Source organism: Homo sapiens, chromosome 16, assembly GCF_000001405.40.
Source record: "Homo sapiens chromosome 16, GRCh38.p14 Primary Assembly".
Classification (NCBI taxonomy): Eukaryota; Metazoa; Chordata; class Mammalia; order Primates; family Hominidae; genus Homo; species Homo sapiens.
Genome location: NC_000016.10, coordinates 52,695,000 through 52,715,426, shown reverse-complemented (window position 1 = coordinate 52,715,426; position 20,427 = coordinate 52,695,000).

Sequence of the window (20,427 nt, the reverse complement as noted above, 5' to 3'; positions counted from 1 at the left end):
TTGAGTGGACATCATCATAAAATCCAACATTAGTAACTCACAGGCTTGTCACATGCCTCTTCCAGAGATCCCTGATCTGGTTCTGAGATCTTCCTTCCCTTGATGAGAACTTCCCTGTAATGAAGCGTATGCTTAGGAAGGGAGAGCAAATTTCTGTCTGTTTTCCATTCTTTTTCTTACAGAAAAATGCTGGGATGAAATTTCTTTGTTGCCAGGTTCTAGAATGAGGTGGCGTCAGCTTGATTTAAAGTGCATGCCATCTGTTTTGTGTCTAAACGTCAAAACCATAGCCTCTGACATTAAAATTCAAGAAAAAAGATTTACCTGATCCTTTGACCTGTAAAAGTACACTGCTTTCAGATTATAGTGTTGAGGCTGTTGGTTCTTTCTTGTAAATTAATATAAAATATTTAAGCTTGCAGCCATCATTTGGGATCCTCTGCTTAAAAGGACGTCATTGTCTGGTTCTTTATTTAATTTTTTTGGATACGATATATTTGTATATATTTATGGGATACATGTGAAATTTTGCTACATGCATAGAATGTGTGATGATCAAGTTAGGGCATTTAGGGTATCTATCACCTGAGTATTTATCTTTTCTATGTGTTGGTAACATTTCCTCTCTTCTGGCAATTTTGAAAAATACAACATATTGTTCTTAACCATAGTCACCCTACTCTGTTATCAAACATGAGAACTTATTCCTTTTATCCAACTGTATGTTTGCAAGCATCGACCAATCTCTGTTCATCCCCCCTCCACCCATTCCCCCTTCCCGGGTAGCTCTTTCACATACACCCAGAGCAACTTACCTTTTCAACTTGAGTATAATCAATTTTTCCGCGACAGGAAGGCAGTCTTAAATGCCTAAATTACCCCACATCCTTACCGTCAATATCTATTTTTAGTAAGAGTTAGTTATTGGGGGAAAATGTGTTGTTTGAGACTCGATCTGACCTGGAAAATGAGGAGGGCGGCTTAGACTGCTTTCACGCCATTTCTCAACAATATTCTTGACACATGTTGAATGGAATAGGACTGTCGTGAGAAAGGGTTATCTCGGTGGAAGATGCCGTGCAGGGAAGCTCATCTGATTTAGAACTTCTCTGGCCATCCAGAAGAGAGTTCAAAAAGAGAAAGAGGGCAGATTGGGAAAGGGGGTTGGAGAGCTAAGATGCAGACTGGGAGCCCAGGAAACCCATCCTGCAGGAGGGATCCAAGCCCCGGCAGAGGGGAGTTCACACCTATCAGGAGCAGATGAAAGCGGTGTTTGATTCTGGATCCTGGCTCTGCTGCTGGCTCTGGTGGCATTATTCATTTAGTGCCGTTCCATACTTCGCAGGAAAAGCACAGCAGGCTTATAATGCTTGAGTTTTTAAACATTCAGAGGACTGTGATGCTATAAATAAACTTCCTGTGTCAGAGATTAAATCAACCAAGATGCCTGCCATGCCAACTTTATTTCTGAAACAACGTGTTTTCAACAGAAATCAAAATACATGTTAATCCTTCCCTTCTGACAGGCTAATATGAGCCTTGCAAATCACAGTGGAGAGCTACCTAGAGGACGTTAAGTAGCAGAAGCCGTGTCTGCACGGCTTATCTGTTGGAGAAGTCTGCGGCCATCCCTTGATTTGGAAGTTTTCTGCCTGGACTTGTGGCTTGGGTCTGCAGAATCAGGTTCAGACTGGACTGTTTTTATCAGAAAAGACTTGGCTATTGTGTTTTGGCTAAAACAATGCAGAGGTTGTGTCTTTGAGAAGAGTAATAACAGGTTAGCAGACAGCCGTCCAGTTCAACACCTATTCTCCTTTCTTTGGGTAACAGCACCCTGATTTACTATTCTCCTTTCTTTGGGTAACAGCATCCTGATTTACTATTCTCCTTTCTTTGGGTAACAGCACCCTAATTTACTCTGAGTAACCATCATCCTTCAACCACTCTTATTCCATGAGGTTCTGTGTGGGGGACTCCATCCCCAGCCCCTAAGGCTGGGCTCTGGGCTAACCAATCAGAGCCATCCACCTCCTTCCTTGGCCATCGAAATTGGTTCCAAGGTGAGGCAATGTCCAAAGTGGGATGATGGTGTGAATTTTGACCCTTGGCTGGAACTCCTGAGAAAGGGAAGCTCCTCTTTTGCTGGGGTGGCTAGCTTAGCACTGCCGAAATTCATCACTGTGACCTGATCACCTGAGATTGATGCCCACTCAGAGTAAAGCAGAGATGAGAGACAGAGACAGATTCCTGATGATATTGTTGGAGCACCTGAATAAAGCCCTGCTTGAAATTAGAAGCCCTCCTGGACTTGTTTGCATGATTAGATTCTATTCTTTTCCATTGAGAATGAGCTGGCTTTCCGTTACCTGAAATTGAAATAGTCCTGATTAATTCAGTGGTCCAGCTGGTGAATTCAGCCAACTGGTCAATTCTGTGACAAAAGGTATTTATGGATTTATCAACTTGTTGTTAGATTAGATTTATTCTAACTTAGTGAGATTGATGGTAGGGCAGCCCAGGGCCGGCTCAGCTCTAGGTAAATAGTGTGGCCATAGGATCCCCAGCAGAGACAAAGAGTGGCCCTGAAAAGCTGGGTATGGCAGCTGGTGAGTTTCAGCTGGAGGCTGTGTTTCTAGAGAGAAGTGGCCTCCCATCAGGGATCCTTGGCCTTCTGAGTACCTTTAAGGATGTGAGGAGGCTGTATTCTTCTCCCTAGAGAGATTTACACATGCCTTTTCCCACCAAGTTTTCCACGTAATTTTAGGTGATTCTCTGAATTGCAGAAAGCCAGCCATGGGCCCCTTGGGGATTCCAGGTTATACAGTAGGAACCTGGACAGGTGACTTGCTTTTTACATCTTACAGGGTCTCTCATGGATGCTACAAATATGCTGGCTAAGATTTTTGAGTACTCACCAGGTCTCAGCCACTACACTTAACATGTAGTATTTACCTATATTTTTACAATGACCCTATTGGGTAGATGTTATCATTATCCTAACTTTACAAATGAATAATTTAAAAGATGAAAAAGTTAGGTATCTTGCTCAAGGTCACCCAGCTTATAAGTGAGTAAAATTTAAATCTCAGTCTAGAAGACACAAGAGACCACATTCTAAATCACTTTAGTGACTTTAGAAATTACTAATGGATCACAGTGACTACCAGTCCATAATAATTTGGATCCTTACATCTAACTTAAATCCATCACGATGTAGTGTAAACCCATTGCTTCTTGTAAGTCACATGGTATTAGATTGTGCCAATCTCAAAACAGGCAAGTGATTTACAGTAAATTAGTATCTGAGACTCAGGTTCTTTATATGGGAATCATGGTTAGTAAATTATTATTTTATTTTTTCATTTTCTTTACTTTGTCAAATTTTTGAAAATTACAAAAGAAAAACATGCTTATAAAAACTTGACACAGAAATAGAGAGCAGTGAGTAGGAGCAGCATGAAAATTCCCCTCAGTGGCTTCTGCTATGGATTAGTTTTAAACTTGGGTGTATAATCTGCCAAACTGTGTCCATGGATTTATACAGTCTTCTTACAACATGTGTAAAGAGTTTCTTTTACTTTTTCCAGTTTTATTGAGGTATTATTGACAAGTAAAAATTGTATATACTGAAAGTGTGTAACTTGATGTTTTGATATACATATACATTGTAAAATAATCACCATAATAAAATTAATTAACATATCCAGTACCTCACATAATTACCATTTCCTTCCTTCCTTCATTCCTTCCTTCCTTTCTCTTCTCTTCAATTTTTTCTTTCTTTCTTTCTTTCCTTTTTCTTTCTTTTTCTGTCTTTCCCTTTCTTTCTTTTTCTTTCTTTCTTTCTTTCTTTCTTTCTTTCTTTCTTTCTTTCTCTTTCTTTCTTTCTCTTTCTTTCTCCTTCTTTCTTTCTTTCTTTCTTTCTTTCTTTCTTTCTTTTTCTTTCTTTCTTTCTTTCTTTCTTCTTTCCTTGTGACAACACTTAAGATCTACTCTCAGTAAATCTCAAGTATACAATACAGTATTGCTAACTATAGTCACATTGCTTATACAGTTTATTTTAAAACAAAAATAGAATCATATTTTGGCATCTTTCCATGTCAGGGTACATATAGATCTACTATTGCGCTTTTGATAACTACATTTAATCCACAAATATGAGCATATGTATTTAGTATTGTCATTCCCTGACTGATGGACATTTCAGTTGCCTCCATTTAAAAAAAAAACTATTATTTTAAATTCTGCTGCAGTGAATACACTTGTGTATATATCTTTGCCACAAGGCTAAATATTTCTATAAAACAGATCTCTAGAAGTAGAATTGCAGGGGCTAGCACACTTCTCTATTTTAAAGTAAATGCATGAAAGACCATTTTTAGCACCATTAAAGGGATTCCAGTGAAATATCCTAGAGCTTGTTAAGTTTGTCTGTTTTTCCTGTGCTTAGGATCATTTGGGCACGGAGACAACGTGCCTTCTTGGTTGTACTGGTTGTCACACTCCCGCTGGAGCCTCCTTTATATTCAAGAGCTCCTCTGAGTCCCGTCTTCCCTTGAGCGGTCCAGGGCTTAGGTTTATTGTGGCAGATTTGGAGCCAGCTTCCCAAGCCGTGCACATCTGCCCTCTGAACACATGCTGGCTACCTGCAGACATCAGCTGGGGCTTGGGAGCCACTGCCCAACAAGCAGTGACTGGTTGTATCCTCAGCGATACCCACAGCCAAAGTCTGAAACCACTGTCTGTTAAGAGTACATGGGATCCAGAAGAATGGTTGCCTGAAATGGAGAGGCTGAAGGCTTACAGCCTTTGACAAAATCTCATTAATTGGTTCATTCCTTTAACAACTATTTTTTGAGCCTTTACTATGAGCCAAGCACTGTGGCCAGAGTTAGAGATACCAGAGGTCACCAAAAACACATACGGCGACCCTTCTCTCGTGGTGACTCTAAAACATGCCAGTTAGGTATATTCTCTTCTCCTGTACACGTCTGGTTTTATGTCTGGGAAACACTTTAAATGAAAAGTAGATTTGAAAAGGTATTTTAGAAGCCAGAACGAATCAACCCAAGCTGGGTGACGACAAAACTTCCTTAAAAACTGCAGCAGAGAGTTGGCAGGACACTGGGATAAAAAAATAAATCAAATGCTGTTAATCATTTTGCCTCCATCTCCTTCTCCTCCCTCCTGTAGCGTTGTTTCCTCCACCCCGGCTGAGTGAACTATGTGACCACTTTACTCCCAGCACAGCTGATTGGACCAGGACTGAAGCCCTGATTCAGGCTCAGTCAATCAGATCCTCTCTTGGGGTGCTGATTTTGTAACGTCATGACCCAGGACAGGTTTTTTAGGGCAGCCTAATTGGAAAGCATTACAAAGGTGGAACCCATGGTGAGATGGAGCAGAGAGGACCACACTGCAGAGAAAGCGAGAATTAAACTGGTAAAAGGAAAGAAGCAGGGAAGCAAACCATGAAGCTTCTGAAAGAAACAGAGCTGGAGCGAGTATCTCCCTTTATGTCAGAATTATCTCCAGAGATCCAGAGCACTTCTTATTCTTGGATTCCCTGAGCCTTCCAACCATTCCAACAAATCCCCATTTTTTCTTGAGCTAACCTGATGGCTCCTCTTTCTGATAACCACCCTCATCCTCTGGGATAAGACAGTATTTGCCTCCTTCTTTGTACTATTGAGAAAAAGAGCAATAGAGAAGCTTCTTTTCATCCTGTTCCTCAAGGCTGAACTTGATATGTTCTTGGGAGATATATTCTTTCTGACTCTATCTGCCATTTTTCGAATGGCCTGATTGTTTTGGAGACATGATGAACTCTGTCCTCAGGGACTCCCTAACGAAGGCTCAGCTTGGAGAATTCATGAATCCATTTGTTCATCAATTAGGGAGCCCTGGAAGCAGACACACTGGGCGAGAGGCTCCTCACTGCTCTCTGCTGGGTGGAGATGGGAGACCAGGCACATCCCCTAGAGAAGCTTCCCCAGAAATGTGGCTCACTGTGGAGGCCAATGAAGCCTCTGCTATTTTCCCCTGGAGAAACTGACAACATGGACAAGCCTGTGTAACCAGAATTATAATGTAAATCCAAGCCTAGAGACTCAAAGTCAGTGAGGAAATAAGCAAATTCCCAAAGAGTTTCTGATCACTGGGTGGTGGTGGAGAGCAGGGAACACAGGACTGTCCAGAAAAATACTTCCCTGACTAGGGAACCCCAGAGAGATGAAAACAAATTCCTATTTTTGCTTTAATTACACACAAATGTACGCATACACAAACACACATGTAAAAAATTTTATTGCTGGATCACTGTGGAGTGAAACAGATACACACTTATCATAGGAAAGCTGGAAGAACCTGGATTAAAAAGAGTGGCTTGTGTGGCTGGGTGAGTTAACAGTTAGGTTCAGTATCCCCATGAGAATCTCTGCCAAGATGAATCTCTCCTTTTCCCAGAAGCTTTGAAAGAAACAAAAACTTAATAATCTTAATAGACGAATTTGACTCAAAAGACCTGTTAAAGGACAGGGAAGCATCTTCTCTTGTCTCCCCAACCCCGACTGCCTTGTCCTTTGCCCATGCCAGTTGACAACACAAACCCCCTCTCTCTACTCCCCTTGAGGATTCAGCCTGGATGCCTTTGCCCCCTAAATTTCCATTGCCTCTAGGTCTCCTTTGTGGTTTTTCTCACTCAAACTGGCATTTTGCATACAGTGGAGAGCAGCAGGGAACTCAGGCTGGCATTAGGAGCAAATCTGGTTTCTTTCTTTGTCTTTATTCCTCCACTCCCTTCCCCCCACCCCACCACCCCCTTCCTTTAGATAGGCGCCTTCAGCTGTGTATAAATTAAGCACATTCTTCTGCCTTTGCAGGTCACATCTGGGATATTCTGGACATCTCTGGTATAAACCCTAAATTTATGAAACCAGTAATTTGCTGCTCCCAGCTTATAATGTCTGACATTGTCACTGTTTGCTTAGAGTTTTGGTATCTGATGTTCTTAATGTTAAGGTCAATTTTATTGATACTGAACTCCATGCCCTCATTTTTTCCCCATTGCATTTTGTTTGAAGCACACACAGAAAGGGTAACTAATCTTAATATCTTGTGTTCACAATTCTATTTAGCATGAAATCAGTAACTGACATATTAATTATAATAATCTGTTAAATATACTTTACCTACATGTTAATTATGTGAGACCATTCTCATTTATTTCTCTGGGTAGCCTATTAATTCAACCCAGATGGTACAGCTTTGTGAGACGGTAACACTGAGCATTTGCAGAATAAATCATGTTGCCAAGATACAGCAGCAAAACGTTATCACATCTGAATAAGCTTTAGGATGATATAACCATGAAAGAAAACCCACCTATTACTTGCAGACTGGAGCTTAGTTAAAAACAGGATCCATACACCAAATGTTTAAAAAAAATTTGAGGGAACATGCAATGGTTTCCTCCAAAAGAGGGGATTCTTTATTTAAGCCCAGTGCCCCATAAATAATTCCAAGAGAGAGAAATGGAATCCTGACCCAGGGAGTTCATCATAACTTGGGGGGAGGGGAAGGAAGGCAGCTGTGCTCTTCTCGGACATTCTGATGTGAAGGCTGGCATTACTGGGGGAAGTGCTTAAAGACCCCTTCCTGCTTTCTCCATTTTCTTGCCTTCTTTAAACTTCTTCCTGGATGTGAATAGAACTCTGGGCTTCATCTCTTGGAGGCTCTTTAGTTTGGGCCATCTTTACATCTGGGAGGCTGACTTATCTCCAAATGGAGATGATTTCAATGATAAAGCTTGTGATCAGCCAATGGGATGCCAATATCATCTTTCTGGGGAAGATCTAGTTCCACTGGCCAGAGATACTTTCAGTTCAGCAATGTAATTCAACAATTTAGTTGGCACTCACTCTTTATTTGTTTCTAAGTAGACCTGTGCTAGTTCTTGGGAGCTGGTGTGGACAAGCCGCATGTGGGCTTTGACTTCACAGAGCTTAAGATCTGTTACAGGCAGTTATAATGAAGCATGATGAGGGAACTATGGCTGTTAGAACACATGCAAAGGACCTCAATCCAAACCTGGGCAGAGGCTCAGAGAATGCTTCCCAGAGCAGTAATCTCATCACTTGCCTCTGAAGGAGGAGCAGGAGGTAGGTAGTCAAGTAGAAGGCTAAAGAGTAACCCAGGTAGAAGCAACAGCATCTTCAAATAGCATATCATATGTTCATGGAACTGAAGGAAGCTGGTGTAAGTGGACATAATCTAGTGTGGAGAGGGGGGTTGTGGGGACTTTCAAGAGATGTGGCTGGATAAGTGTGCAGAGGCCAGATTCTGAGGGTCTCTGTGAACTATATGAAGGAGTTCAGCTTTCATCCTGAGGACAGTAGGGGTCACGGAAGAGTTTAAGCATTGAGGTGACATTGCCAGATTTATATTGTAGGAGCTTCATTCTGGCTTCGCATAGGATAGCAGGTAGCAGGCTGGAGCTGTGGTCATAGCTAGAGATGGTGGTGTCTTGGACCAGAAGAGAGACAGGACCTTTTTCATCTTCTTATCCTTCTCAGCCTTACCTAAATTTCTTCTTCTCTTTCTCAAAGCCTTTCCTGACATCTCCAGTCTTCTCCAAGATCTTTATTTTTTGAACTTTGCTAGCAATGTTTTAGAAAGGATTTAATTTCAGAATCTCAGCTTGCTTCTCCATTCCCTTGAACACTGGTACAGGTGCATCTATCTCTGCCATGATGTTTAAGGTTGCCTAATAACTTCTCTGCCCTATCTCTCCTCCATGGACACATGGCTTTTGCATTTGAGCAACTCATTGCTCATGATGCCCATGGATACTTTTGCTACATATTTATTGTGAGATTATATTTTGTGCTTGCTCCTTGGCCACTCAATCTAAAAACAGCTGTCTCTCATTCTCTCTCAGATCTCCCCTGTTCCTCTCCTTCATAGCATTGACCACAATGCGCAATTAGAGGTTATAATTTGTTTTGCTTTGCTCTTTATGCTTTTCTTCTGCCTCATCTGCTAGACTGATCCCATCAGGGCAGAGACCGTGTCTGTTTTTCCTCATTGTATTCTAAGCACGTAGCACAGAGTCTGCCTGGCACATAATAGTCGTGCAACAAACTAACATTTCTTGATTGAAACACGGTATTAGTTTTCTAAAATTGAAGGCCCTTTAACTCTTGAAGGGGAGCACTTGAATCTCAGCACACATTTCAAATGTGTGCACTTTTAAGCTTAGAGGAAGAAATGAAAACCAGGGGTGCAGAAATGGAAACCACAAGCCCAAAAATGTGGCATTGTCTCGAAAGTGGCCTTCTATAGCAATGATTAGAATGTATATGAATGACAGAATGACTTGGGCACAGGATAAATTTGACAAGCCCATTAGAGAGAGGTTTACCTGAAGAGGGGGACTATAGGATAGCTGAGAAATTCTAATCATCCAAATAACTACTATAACAAGCATGTGAATTTCAGAAGGACATGATTAATTTAGAATCAGTTTTGAGTTTTAGATTCTGTCTTGATTTGTTTTCTAAGAAACAACCAACCTTCCCTCCTTCAATTCTTTCTCCCACCTACCTACCTTCTTTTGTTCATCCATTCATTCATCAAATATTCCTTGAGGGCATGAAACATCCCAGGATCTTGCTGGAAAGTGACTATTAAAAAGGCAGTGAGTAAGCCTCAAGATACTGAGAGTGAAGTACACCTCTGTATTGAAGGGCCAGGAAGAGGCCTCAGTAGAAAGGTTCCCAGCCGAAAGACTGTGTTTAGCCAGGTTTGACCCCCTTGGCTTCTCTTTTGAAAAAGATATTGAGAAAGGATTGAGGGCTGACACATCTGCTGAACCCTCTGAAATCACAGCTGAGCCCCACTAGCTGGATTGAACATCAACCAGAATTCCACATCCACTACATGGTTAAGAGGAACTTCTAGCTGGGGAATATAAAATTGTAAATGGCACAGATAACGTCAGTCTGAGTTACTGTTTTCAGAATGACACAGATGTTAGGATAAGGGAGCATAAATGGAAATTAAAGAGAAACAAATTCAGAACAGATGTCAGGAAGCATTTTTTTTCATGCAGAGAATCACAAATGTGTGGAATGGCCTACCAGACTCGATTGTTAAGGCAAAGACACAGGGGACATTCGAGGACTGATCAGATGGCATCACGGGGGAATTAAGCAGTAAAAGAGGAAATGAGCATGCATACGGCAACTGGCTTTCAGCTAATCCTCAACCATGTCCATGTTCTTATGTTCCTGGTGCTTACATACTTACCTTGGATAAACACACATAATTTCTTTGCTTTTAGTTTTCACAGATTGCACCAATCTCCAAATGGATATTTTCACATCATAAAGATGACGTTGGCAGAGAAGGGGAGAGAGAGAGAGAGAGAGAGAGAGAGAGAGAGAGAGAGAAAGGGAGAGAGAGACAGAGCCTTTCCTGCAGTTATTTTATTTTTGGAAGGAAGGTGGTGGTGTTCATGAATCATGCATGAAAAATAACATTTACAATGTATATCTCTATCTAGCACCAAAGATCACAGTTTGATCATAAACCAGACAGGCCTGTGTACTGTCTCCTGGAGCTGGAGTTCTAATTTTCACTAAATTCATGGCCCACAAGGTGTCCCTTGAAGTCCTCCCCAGCTAATGGTGTCATGGTGCTCAAGTTCTTTAAAGAATATTATATGTAGTCTGGGCATGGTGGCTCATGCCTGTAATCCCAGCACTTCGGGAGGCCGAGGTGGGCAGATCACCTGAGCTCAGGAGATCGAGACCATCCTGGCCAACATGGTGAAATCCCGTCTCTACTAAAAATACAAAAATTAGCTGGGCATGGTGGTAGGCGCCTGTAATCCCAGCCACTTGGGAGGCTGAGGCATGAGAATCGCTTCAACCCGGGAGGCAGAGGTTGTAGTGAACCAAGATGGCGCCATTGCACTCCAGCCTGGGTGACAGAGTGATACCCTGTCTCAAAAAAAAAAAAAAAAAAAGAATATTATATGTAAAAGAAAATGAAGCCAGTTGTCACCATCCAACAGCTACTTACTGGAAAGAATTTGAACCAAGAATGAGGTAACAGGAAACCTGCAGCCCCACAGCCACTTGTCTTTCTTTGCATTGTGCCTTCAGAACAGCCCTGGTGAGACTGTAACCAGGTGCCCCCTTACGGAAGTATCACTTGGAGGACATAGCTTATGATAATAGGGAAGGAGAGAGAGGAAAGCAAGGGATCTATGCCTCAAGGGAAGGTAGTTGAGGATAAAAAGTAGAGTTAAACCTCATTAATCTGGACCCTGCTAATTTGGAATGTAGGAATAATTCAGACCCTCTGGCTGGGCTGAAGTTTACCTTTGTACTAGATATGGAAAAAAGGGTTTGCTAAGCAAATTAATAGTGTAAACAAGATTGAGGGTAGGGAATATATAACCTATTTAAGAGAACAAATTGTTTTCACATACTTCGTAGAACCATCTGCATAGGAGCAATGAATAGGTCAATTATAAGTAATCCGGTCTATTCATTAATCTTGGTCTGCTGGGTATCCAAACTTAGCAGAATTTTGTGAGCATTAGAGGGATGAAATTGAACAAGGTGGGGAGGGAGTTCTTGAAAGTTCTTATTATTTAAGGCATGATTTGGTTGATTTACATTGCCTTTTATGTCATAACTTACTTCAGATTTATAAGACCTTAAACAACTATTGACAACCCTTCTTTAGATGCCGTCTGTCCCCTCTTTCTGTTAGAGTTGAGATGATAGAAAGACCAACTTGTAAAACACAGTCCTGAATAGTTTTGGCACCAGGACAAGTAAGAAAAGCTTGTTTGGGCAGCTTTTACTTCATAGCCACTTAGCAAGAATAGGGTGCCACAGGTTAGAAAGCCTGAATTCTAGTCTGGTCTGCCAATAATTACCCATTGGATTTCAGCAGACCTTTTATTCTCTCTGGGGCATCAGTTTCCACATTTATACAGTAGAATAAGATTGATGGTATCTGAAGACTCTTTCAACCCAACAATTCCATTATGGCCATTTATTATCTTCTCTGAGACAATTTCTCATCAGTAAAAAATATATAGTAATCCTCATGTTGTTTTGATAATCCGATAATACAGCAAATAAAGGGCAGAGTATAATATATAATATAAGCATTAAGTAAGAAAAAAGTCAATCAGGGGAATTATCTCATCTCTGCTGCTGTCATAGGCTAAGAATGCACTCCTTTACCCTCTCCTTGGGACATGCTCACTGTCTTTTCTCCTTCCTTACTCATGGACTTTTTTTTTTTTTTTTTTTTTGAGATGGAGTCTTGCTCTGTTGCCCAGGTTGGAGTGCAGTGGCACGATCTTGGCTCACTGCAACCTCTGCCTCCCAGGTAGCTGGGATTACAGGCGCCAGCCACCATGCCCACCTAATTTTTGCATTTTTAGTAGAGACAGGGTTTCACCATGTTGGCCATGCTGGTCTGGAACTCTGGACCTCAAGTGATCTGCTCACCTTGGCCTCCCAAAGTGCTGGGATTACAGGTGTGAGCCACTGCGCCCGGCTCCATAGACTTCTTAATAACATTTCCCATTAGGTAAGACTGGAGCTTTCACCAGGAGCTTTCACCAGTTCCACCCCCAACCCCCTAATTTCTTTTAGTCAGTTTGCTCATCTCTTCTGGATATGGAAACCAGAGAGACAGAGCACTTCATGAAATGCAAGATGCAGAAGCAGGAGGGTCCTCTTGTTCAGCAGATCAGTGAGTGGTGAATTGGAACAGGGGAGGAGGAGGGTGGATGGTTTTCTCTCAGCCAGAGGTCTTGTTGCCACTCCCCTAGCCACTCTCAAACACACTACAGGGTTGTCCACAAACATATGAAAAAATGCTCGATATCATTAATCATCTGAGAAATGCAAATTAAAATCACAAGGAGATATCTTTCATCAGTCAGAATGGCTACTGTTAAAAAGTCAGAAAACAACACGTGGAGAAAAATGAACATTTTTACACTGCTGGTAGGAATGTAAATTAATACAGCCTTTATGGAAAACAGTATGGAGATTTCTCAAAGAACTAAAAAATAGAACTACCATTTGATCCAGCATTCCCACTACTGGGTATCTACCCAAAGGGAAAGAAATTATACGAGAAAGATATCCACACTTGTATGTTGATTGCAGCACTATTCACAATAGCAAAGATACAGAATCAACTTAAATGTCCATCAATGGATGATTGGATAAAGAAAATGTGATATGTACACCATGGAATACTACCCAGTTATAAAAAAGCATGAAATCATGTATTTTGCAGCAACACTGGTAAAACTTGAGGCCATTATCCTAAGTGAAATAATAGAACATCAGATTCTCACTCCCATGTTCTCATAAGTGGGAGCTTAAACAATGGTTACACGTGGACATACAGATGGAAAAATAGACATGGAGACTCCAAAACAGGAGAGTGGGAAGGAAGTGAGGACTGAAGATATCACATACTGGGTACAATATATTCACTATTTGGGTAATGGGTACACTAAAAGCCCAGACTTCATTCACCACTAAGCAATACATGCATGTAGCAAAAATGCCTTTGTGCCCTCCAAATAAAAAAAAAAAAAAAAACACCACAAAACACACACAAAAAAATAGTTGTGCCAATTTTAGTTCTAAAGCTGGAGTTGGACATGGAGCAGCCAGTTGGCACAAGTTTGGTTTCTGACTTCAGTTCATATCAGTCTCTGTTCCTCCCAGTCACTGACTCGTAAAGTGAATTAATCAGTTAAATATTGATTTGATGTGCCATTTCTATTGACATGATTCTCAAATAATGTTTGGTCACTGTACATTCAAAATCTTTACTGCTTAAACAAATCGTCAGCTAGATCTTTTCAAAGGTGGACTCAAAGACCAAGATCATGTTGGGCTGCCTTATCTGTGCTTGGCTGAAGACACTTATCTCCTTAAACGTGTTTTTGACACATAAAATCAGTTCTTTATTCTGGTATTGAGAAACTCAGTAGCAGAATAGCTTCAGAGTTGCTAAAATCATATTAAATATCATTTGTATGAGTATGTGGAGATTATGTACTATGTGCAGATTTGGGACCCTTTTTAGAAAATGAGACAAGACTGAGGGAAAAATGTGGTGCGTGCCATGAGAAGATTTTATGGGGTGAGGGTTTTTAATCAGAGCCTCCAGTCCTGCTACATTCCCCAGGCAGTAGGACCCTGCATCGCAGTTACTGTTTGGGTGACCTTTATTTAAGTGAACTCACAAGGCTTAGAAAGTCAGCCTCTTCAGAACCACAAACTTTGGTTAAGTCAAATGATTTTGGCGAAGTCATTTGACATCCTTGAAAACTAATCCAAATTGATGCAATGCCCTGTGCAATTGCTGTTGCAGCATTTGTTGTGTTTCTAACATTTGTCAGCAAGACTTACTTTATTTCTCTTTTTTATTGACTGCTTGCCTTAAGTTCCACCCTGTGAAAAGTGCTTTAGGTTTTGCAGAAAAATATCTAGTTCCCCTACATTTTCAGAAGTGTATACTCTTGATGAAGAGCAAGGCACAGAGACCAAAGGCTGCAAAATGGTGGATGTGCTCTGCAGATGTATTTTCTTTGGTGTGTTTAGTCTCTGACCAAAAATAAGTAAATATATAAAATAAAAACTGTATTTTTTTTGTTGCCGATATTTAGAATTTGGGATGTTTCAAGAGTCCCAAGAAAATCAAGAGTAAGGCTAGTCTTAAAAAATATCAGATGATGAAGAAACACTCATTCTGAATTCTCTCATGGCAACGACCAGCTGGACCTGAGTAGTGGCCACTTTTATGTGCTGTGAAATATACTGTCTAGTTCACCACAGTCCCTACCACACCCTGTTGTCTTACTCCAGTCTGGCTCACTCATTATATTACCTGCCTTGCATTAGCAGGCATCTGTATTTACAATCCTTGAAATAGTTATCTAAGAAAGACACAGAAACAAAAATGCAACGAAGTATATGATTCCATGATCAAATGAATGGTACAGATAAAGACTGTGGGTGGGATGTTAAGATGATTGAATTATGTGAACTTGTTTACTTGGAAGTTTCTGTTGGTCATGACTGGTTTGGGAGGTGTCTTGCAAAATGGCTAATAATTAGGAACTGAAATTTTCAAAGGCCTTGAAAAAAGAGAGAGAATTAATGCTGTCTCTTTAATAATATTGTTCTCTGTGGCTATTCCTGTATGCTTTTGTAAGAGAAGAGAGGGTGGCATTACAGCTATTGCTAATTTGGTAGTAATACTGTGGGAAACGAGTCACTACATGTATGACTCCTGTCATGTAATATAGACGGAGAGGCTGAGGTCTTTGCAGCATTTAGTATCTGTGAGGCCTGGAAGATGACCCAGGGATAGCCATGGAACAGATACCTAGATTGTTTTCTTTCTTTTCTTTTTCTTTTTTTTCTTTTTTTCTTTTTTTTTTTTTGAGACGGGGTTTCACTATGTCACCCAGGCTGGAGTACACTGGTGCGATCTTCGCTCACTTCAACCTCCGCCTCCTGGGTTCAAGTGATTCTCCTGCCTCAACCTCCCAAGTAATTGGGAGTACAGGCATGTGCCACCACACCCAACTAATTTTTGTATTTTTAGTAGAGACAAGATTTCATCATGTTGGCCAGGTTGTTCTCGAACTCCTGGCCTCAAGTCATCCACCCACCTTGGCCTCCCAAAGTGCTGGGATTGCAGGCGTGAGCCACCACGCCTGGCCTGTTTTCTGATGATTGGTATGATCCCAAGATCAAGCCCTTGTCGAAAAATCAAGTAGAAGATGGTCAGCTGCGGGACATGTGCCGGGAAGGACAGGTCAGAGGAAGACTGCGAAATAATTGTTACATTTGGCAATTAAGATAGCCACAAAGTGAACATCTGTTTTTTGTGTGTGTGTTTGACATGCATTCACTTTTCTTCTGGAAACAGTAGGATGGCTTTTCTCACTCAATTCATGTGGTTCAGGTGGGCTGACTTTGCCCCCATTGCACCAAGGATGGGCGTGTAATTCAGAATCGCCAAATGAGAACTTCTGTGTCTTCTTTCCTAATAGTTTCAGGGATGGACATGTGCCCAAGCTGAGACATTAAAAAGTCAGCCTTGGGGATGTTGCTAATGCTACCAGGAGAGAAGTGTTCGTTCTACTGGGGTCATGCAGCTGGTAAGACCTCAGCCTGGAGTGCAAAATGTCATTCTTCTGGCCACTGGAGGAGGCTCTGCCCAACCCTAATGCCAATAGATGAAAGGAGAGATGGGTCCTGTTTATGCTACCTTGCTCCAGCCATGCCTAAACCAGACAGCTATAGTCATTGTTTCTCTCCTTTGGCACTACGCTACTCTGCTTTAGTTCAAGCTTCTCCAACCCATTGCCCATGGGCCGCATCCAGCCTAGGATGGCATTGAATGTGGCTCAACACAAATTCGTAAACTTTCTTAGAAACACTATGAGATTTTTGAAGAATTTCTTTTTTTTTTAGATCATCAGCTGTGGTTAGTGTTAGTGTATTTTATGTGTGACCCAAGACAATTCTTCTTCCAATGTGGCCCAGGGAAGCCAAAAATTGAACACCCCGCAATTTGACTGGGCACTGCATTATCCTGCTGGAAGAGAACTTTGTCTCTGATGAATCAAGAAAATGCTTACTTTTCTGCTTACTTTTCTACTGTTGCTTTATTTTTTTTTTTTTTTTTCGAAGTCTCAAAAACTGTCACCTGGGCTGGAGTGCAATGGCGTGGTCTCAGCTCACTGCAACCTCTGCCTCCTGGGTTCAAGTGATTCTCCTGCCTCAGCCTCCTGAGCAGCTGGGATTACAGGTGCCTGCCACTACACCTGGCTAATTTTTCGTATTTTTTTTAGTAGAGATGGGGTTTCACTATGTTGGCCAGGCTGGTCTCGAACTCCTGACCTCATGATTGGCCTGCCTTGGGCTCCCAAAGTGCTGGGATTACAGGCGTGAGCTACGTGCCTGGCCTACTGTTGCATTTTGAAGCTCAATACATGTGCCTCAGTTTTCCTTCTGCTGCAATAACTCCTGGACTTCCCTAACCTGGGCTTCTGCCATTGCCTACAAGCCTCAAGCCAGTAATCCTGCAAGGTCCTTGCATTCACAAGCAGCTGTGTCTCCTCTTTCTCTCTCTCATGGTTATTGTGGAAGGAAGAATAGGCCACTGCCCCCCAATCAGAAATTGCTATTGTTTGGTCTGGAAGCTCTTTCCAGCACTTTGAAGTCTATGGATATTTTTTTACTGAAAAAAAAAAAAAAAAAAAAAAAGGAAGGAGGTAATGTGGCTGTGGGAAGTTTCTGGAGCCAGGCAGGGCAGAATCAGAATGCCCTTTCTGTCATGTAATAGCTCTTTGATCTTAGATGAGTTGCTGAACTTCTCTGAATCTCAGTTTCCTAAATCTGTAATATGAGAATGATCATAACTACTCTGGAGGGTTGTTTTGAGGATTAAAGGATTAAATCTGGAACTCACCACAAGGCAGCTTGTGACGGTTAGTTTTTGTATGAGTGACTAAGAGGAGGTACATCATTATAGCTCATGACACAGCTTCCAGAGTCAGACCACCTGGTTCTCATCTCATCTTCACTTCTCACATAGCATCTTTAGGCCTCATCTTTCAAAATGGGGATAACAGTAATAACAAAGTTTCTACTTTGTAAAGTTATTATGTGAATTAAATAATTTAATGCATGCAAAGCACTTAGTGCAGGGATATTGCAGCCAATAATCTCCAGTTTATTATAAGTGTAAGTCTTGTATTTAGTGGTGTACCCAGTGTCTTTAAAAACCTGAAGCAGATCATTTTTAATCCCTCTTCTCTATACAACCATATTATTTTCAATGATAATTATGTTATAATTAGTAATAATCATTATTTTATGATTTTTTCCTTTAGCTTTAAAACAAACAACAAACAATTTTAAAAAATACATTCCAATTTTAAAGATATTTTTCAATTCAGTAAAATATTTCACATATGAACTAAAGTTTGCTTTTACCAAACAAAAGATTATGTCTAGTCATTGGTACTGTTTCATTATTTTAAACACCAATAAAAACTCCCATTGATCACCAAGGATGACAGAACTCAACTCAAATTTCTCATTTTTACATTTACTATCATTGTTTATTTTAAATCGACCTTATAAATGCAGGAATATGTCACACTACAGGGCTTAAGAGACACAAACTATGCTGAAAGCAAGCTCAAGGGATTTTGAACCTTTACAAAATTGTCCCCTTGAGACATACTCTGTTGCTGAGTCCTCATGGGACGGGGTCCCACTGCATAACTGGGAGTTCTCCAAATTACCTTGTATGTAGAATGCAGTATTTATTAAAGCATAGTGATAAAAATGTGCTAATTTGAAGCTTACATATATGCTGTTAAAACTTAACAGATAATGCAACAATTATTTAGAACTTAAACTGAGAAAATTTTTTTTTCAGAGAGGAGTATTTATCACTGACACTGTTCAGACTGGATGGTGCATGTTGATATGAAAAAAAACCACAACTTGTAGTCAGTTTTATTGTTGCTTTTAATATCTCTACAACATGTTTCCCTACAGCTGCACCCAAGGTGGGTCATCCCCACTGCCCTGCCCTTGGGACATCCCTGCTTGTAGATCATGGAGGTGGTCAGAGAACACTTTTCAGTGACACATTATTATTGGCCACTGTCTCTCACTGATCTTTGGGTCGTTTTTATTCTGGCTTTTTTTTTTTTTTTCCTTTTTGATTAGATGGAGGGATCAGTAGCTTGGCCATGAGTAAATAGAGATGGGGCCAAGTGAGTTTCCTTGTCAATGTCAGGAGAGAACAACAGGAAATGAGGATGCTAAAAAGAAAATCAAGGATGGCTGGCCTAGGAGATAGCACACTCATGTTTTGTTCAGCTGTTATTGATCAAGTACCAGGTATGAGCTAGGAAGTATGAATACATACTAAGCAAGACAGGTGTAGTGGCCTGAGTGGTAGGCCCAAAAAAGACAGGTCTATATCGTGTTCTCTGGAACCTGTGAATATTGCCTTATATGGTAAAAGAGTGAATATTACCTTATATGGCAAAAGATGGAATCAAGGATATTGATAGAAGCTTATCCAGGTGGTCCTAAATCCAATGACAAGTGTCCTTCTAAGAATGAGGCAGAGGGGAGTCTTGACAGACAGAAGAAGAGGTTGCAGGCTGGGCGTGGTGGCTCACGCCTATAATCCCAGCACTATGGGAGGCTGAGGCAGAGGATAGCTTGAGCTCAGGAGTTTGAGACCAGCCTAGGCAACATGGCGAAATCCCATCTCTACAAAAAGTTAGCCAGGCATGGTGACATGCACCTGTAGTCCCAGCTTCTTGGGAGACTGAAGTGGGAGGATCCTCTGAGCCTGGGGAATCACAGCTGCAGTGAGCCATGATTGCACTACTGCATTCCAGCCTGGGTGTCACAGTGAGACATTATCACAAAAAAAAAAAAAAAAAAAAAGAAAACAACAACAACAAAAAGAAGTGGTTGTGATGTGACCATGGAGGCAGAGGTTGGAGTGATGCAGCTGCAGCCAAGGAGCACTGCAGCCATCAGGGAAGTGGCAAGGATGGGATCCTGCCTTGCAGGCTCCAGAGGGAATGTGGCCCTCCTCCATTGCTGGCATCCAGAACTGTGGATAATTAATGTCTGTTACTTGAAGCTATGAAGTTTGTGGTCATTTGCTGCTGTCAGCCTCAGAAGACAAATCCAGAAGTTGCATTATTAACTTCACAGAGCTTACATTCTTGTGGATAAAACAATTAACCTATCAACCAGTCCTCATAGTTTGGTGATTGTGTAGCACCAGTCTCTCCCAGTAGACTGTGTTCTCCATTCAAGAAGAGACTGCATTTAGTTCTTTCTTGTATCATTCCATTGCCTGGTACATAACAGATGCCCACCAAATATTTATTGACATAACTAATAAAGTAGGGCAAGAGCCTTGATGAGGGAAATACCTGGTTCTAGAAGGTTCTAGAAGGGGCACCTAATCTAATCTAAGATTAAATAATCTAAATCTAAGATCAATTAATTAATTAAAAGTGGGGCAAGAGCTTTGATGAGGGAAATATCTGGTTCTAGAAGGTTATAGAAGGGGCACCTAATCTAATCTAAGAGAGTAAAGAGGGCTTTCCATGGGAAGTGACATTTAAGATGAGCTTTGAATGATGTGTAAACATCAGGCCAAAAGGGTGAGAAGCAGCACTGTGACAGAAGAAGCAACATGCACATGTGCAGAGGCCTACAGGCAGAAAAGAGAGGATTATAATGTGTCTGGAAAGGTCAGGTGGTGGAGGGGGAAGGATGAAGACAGGGAAGGGAAGAGAGCGTG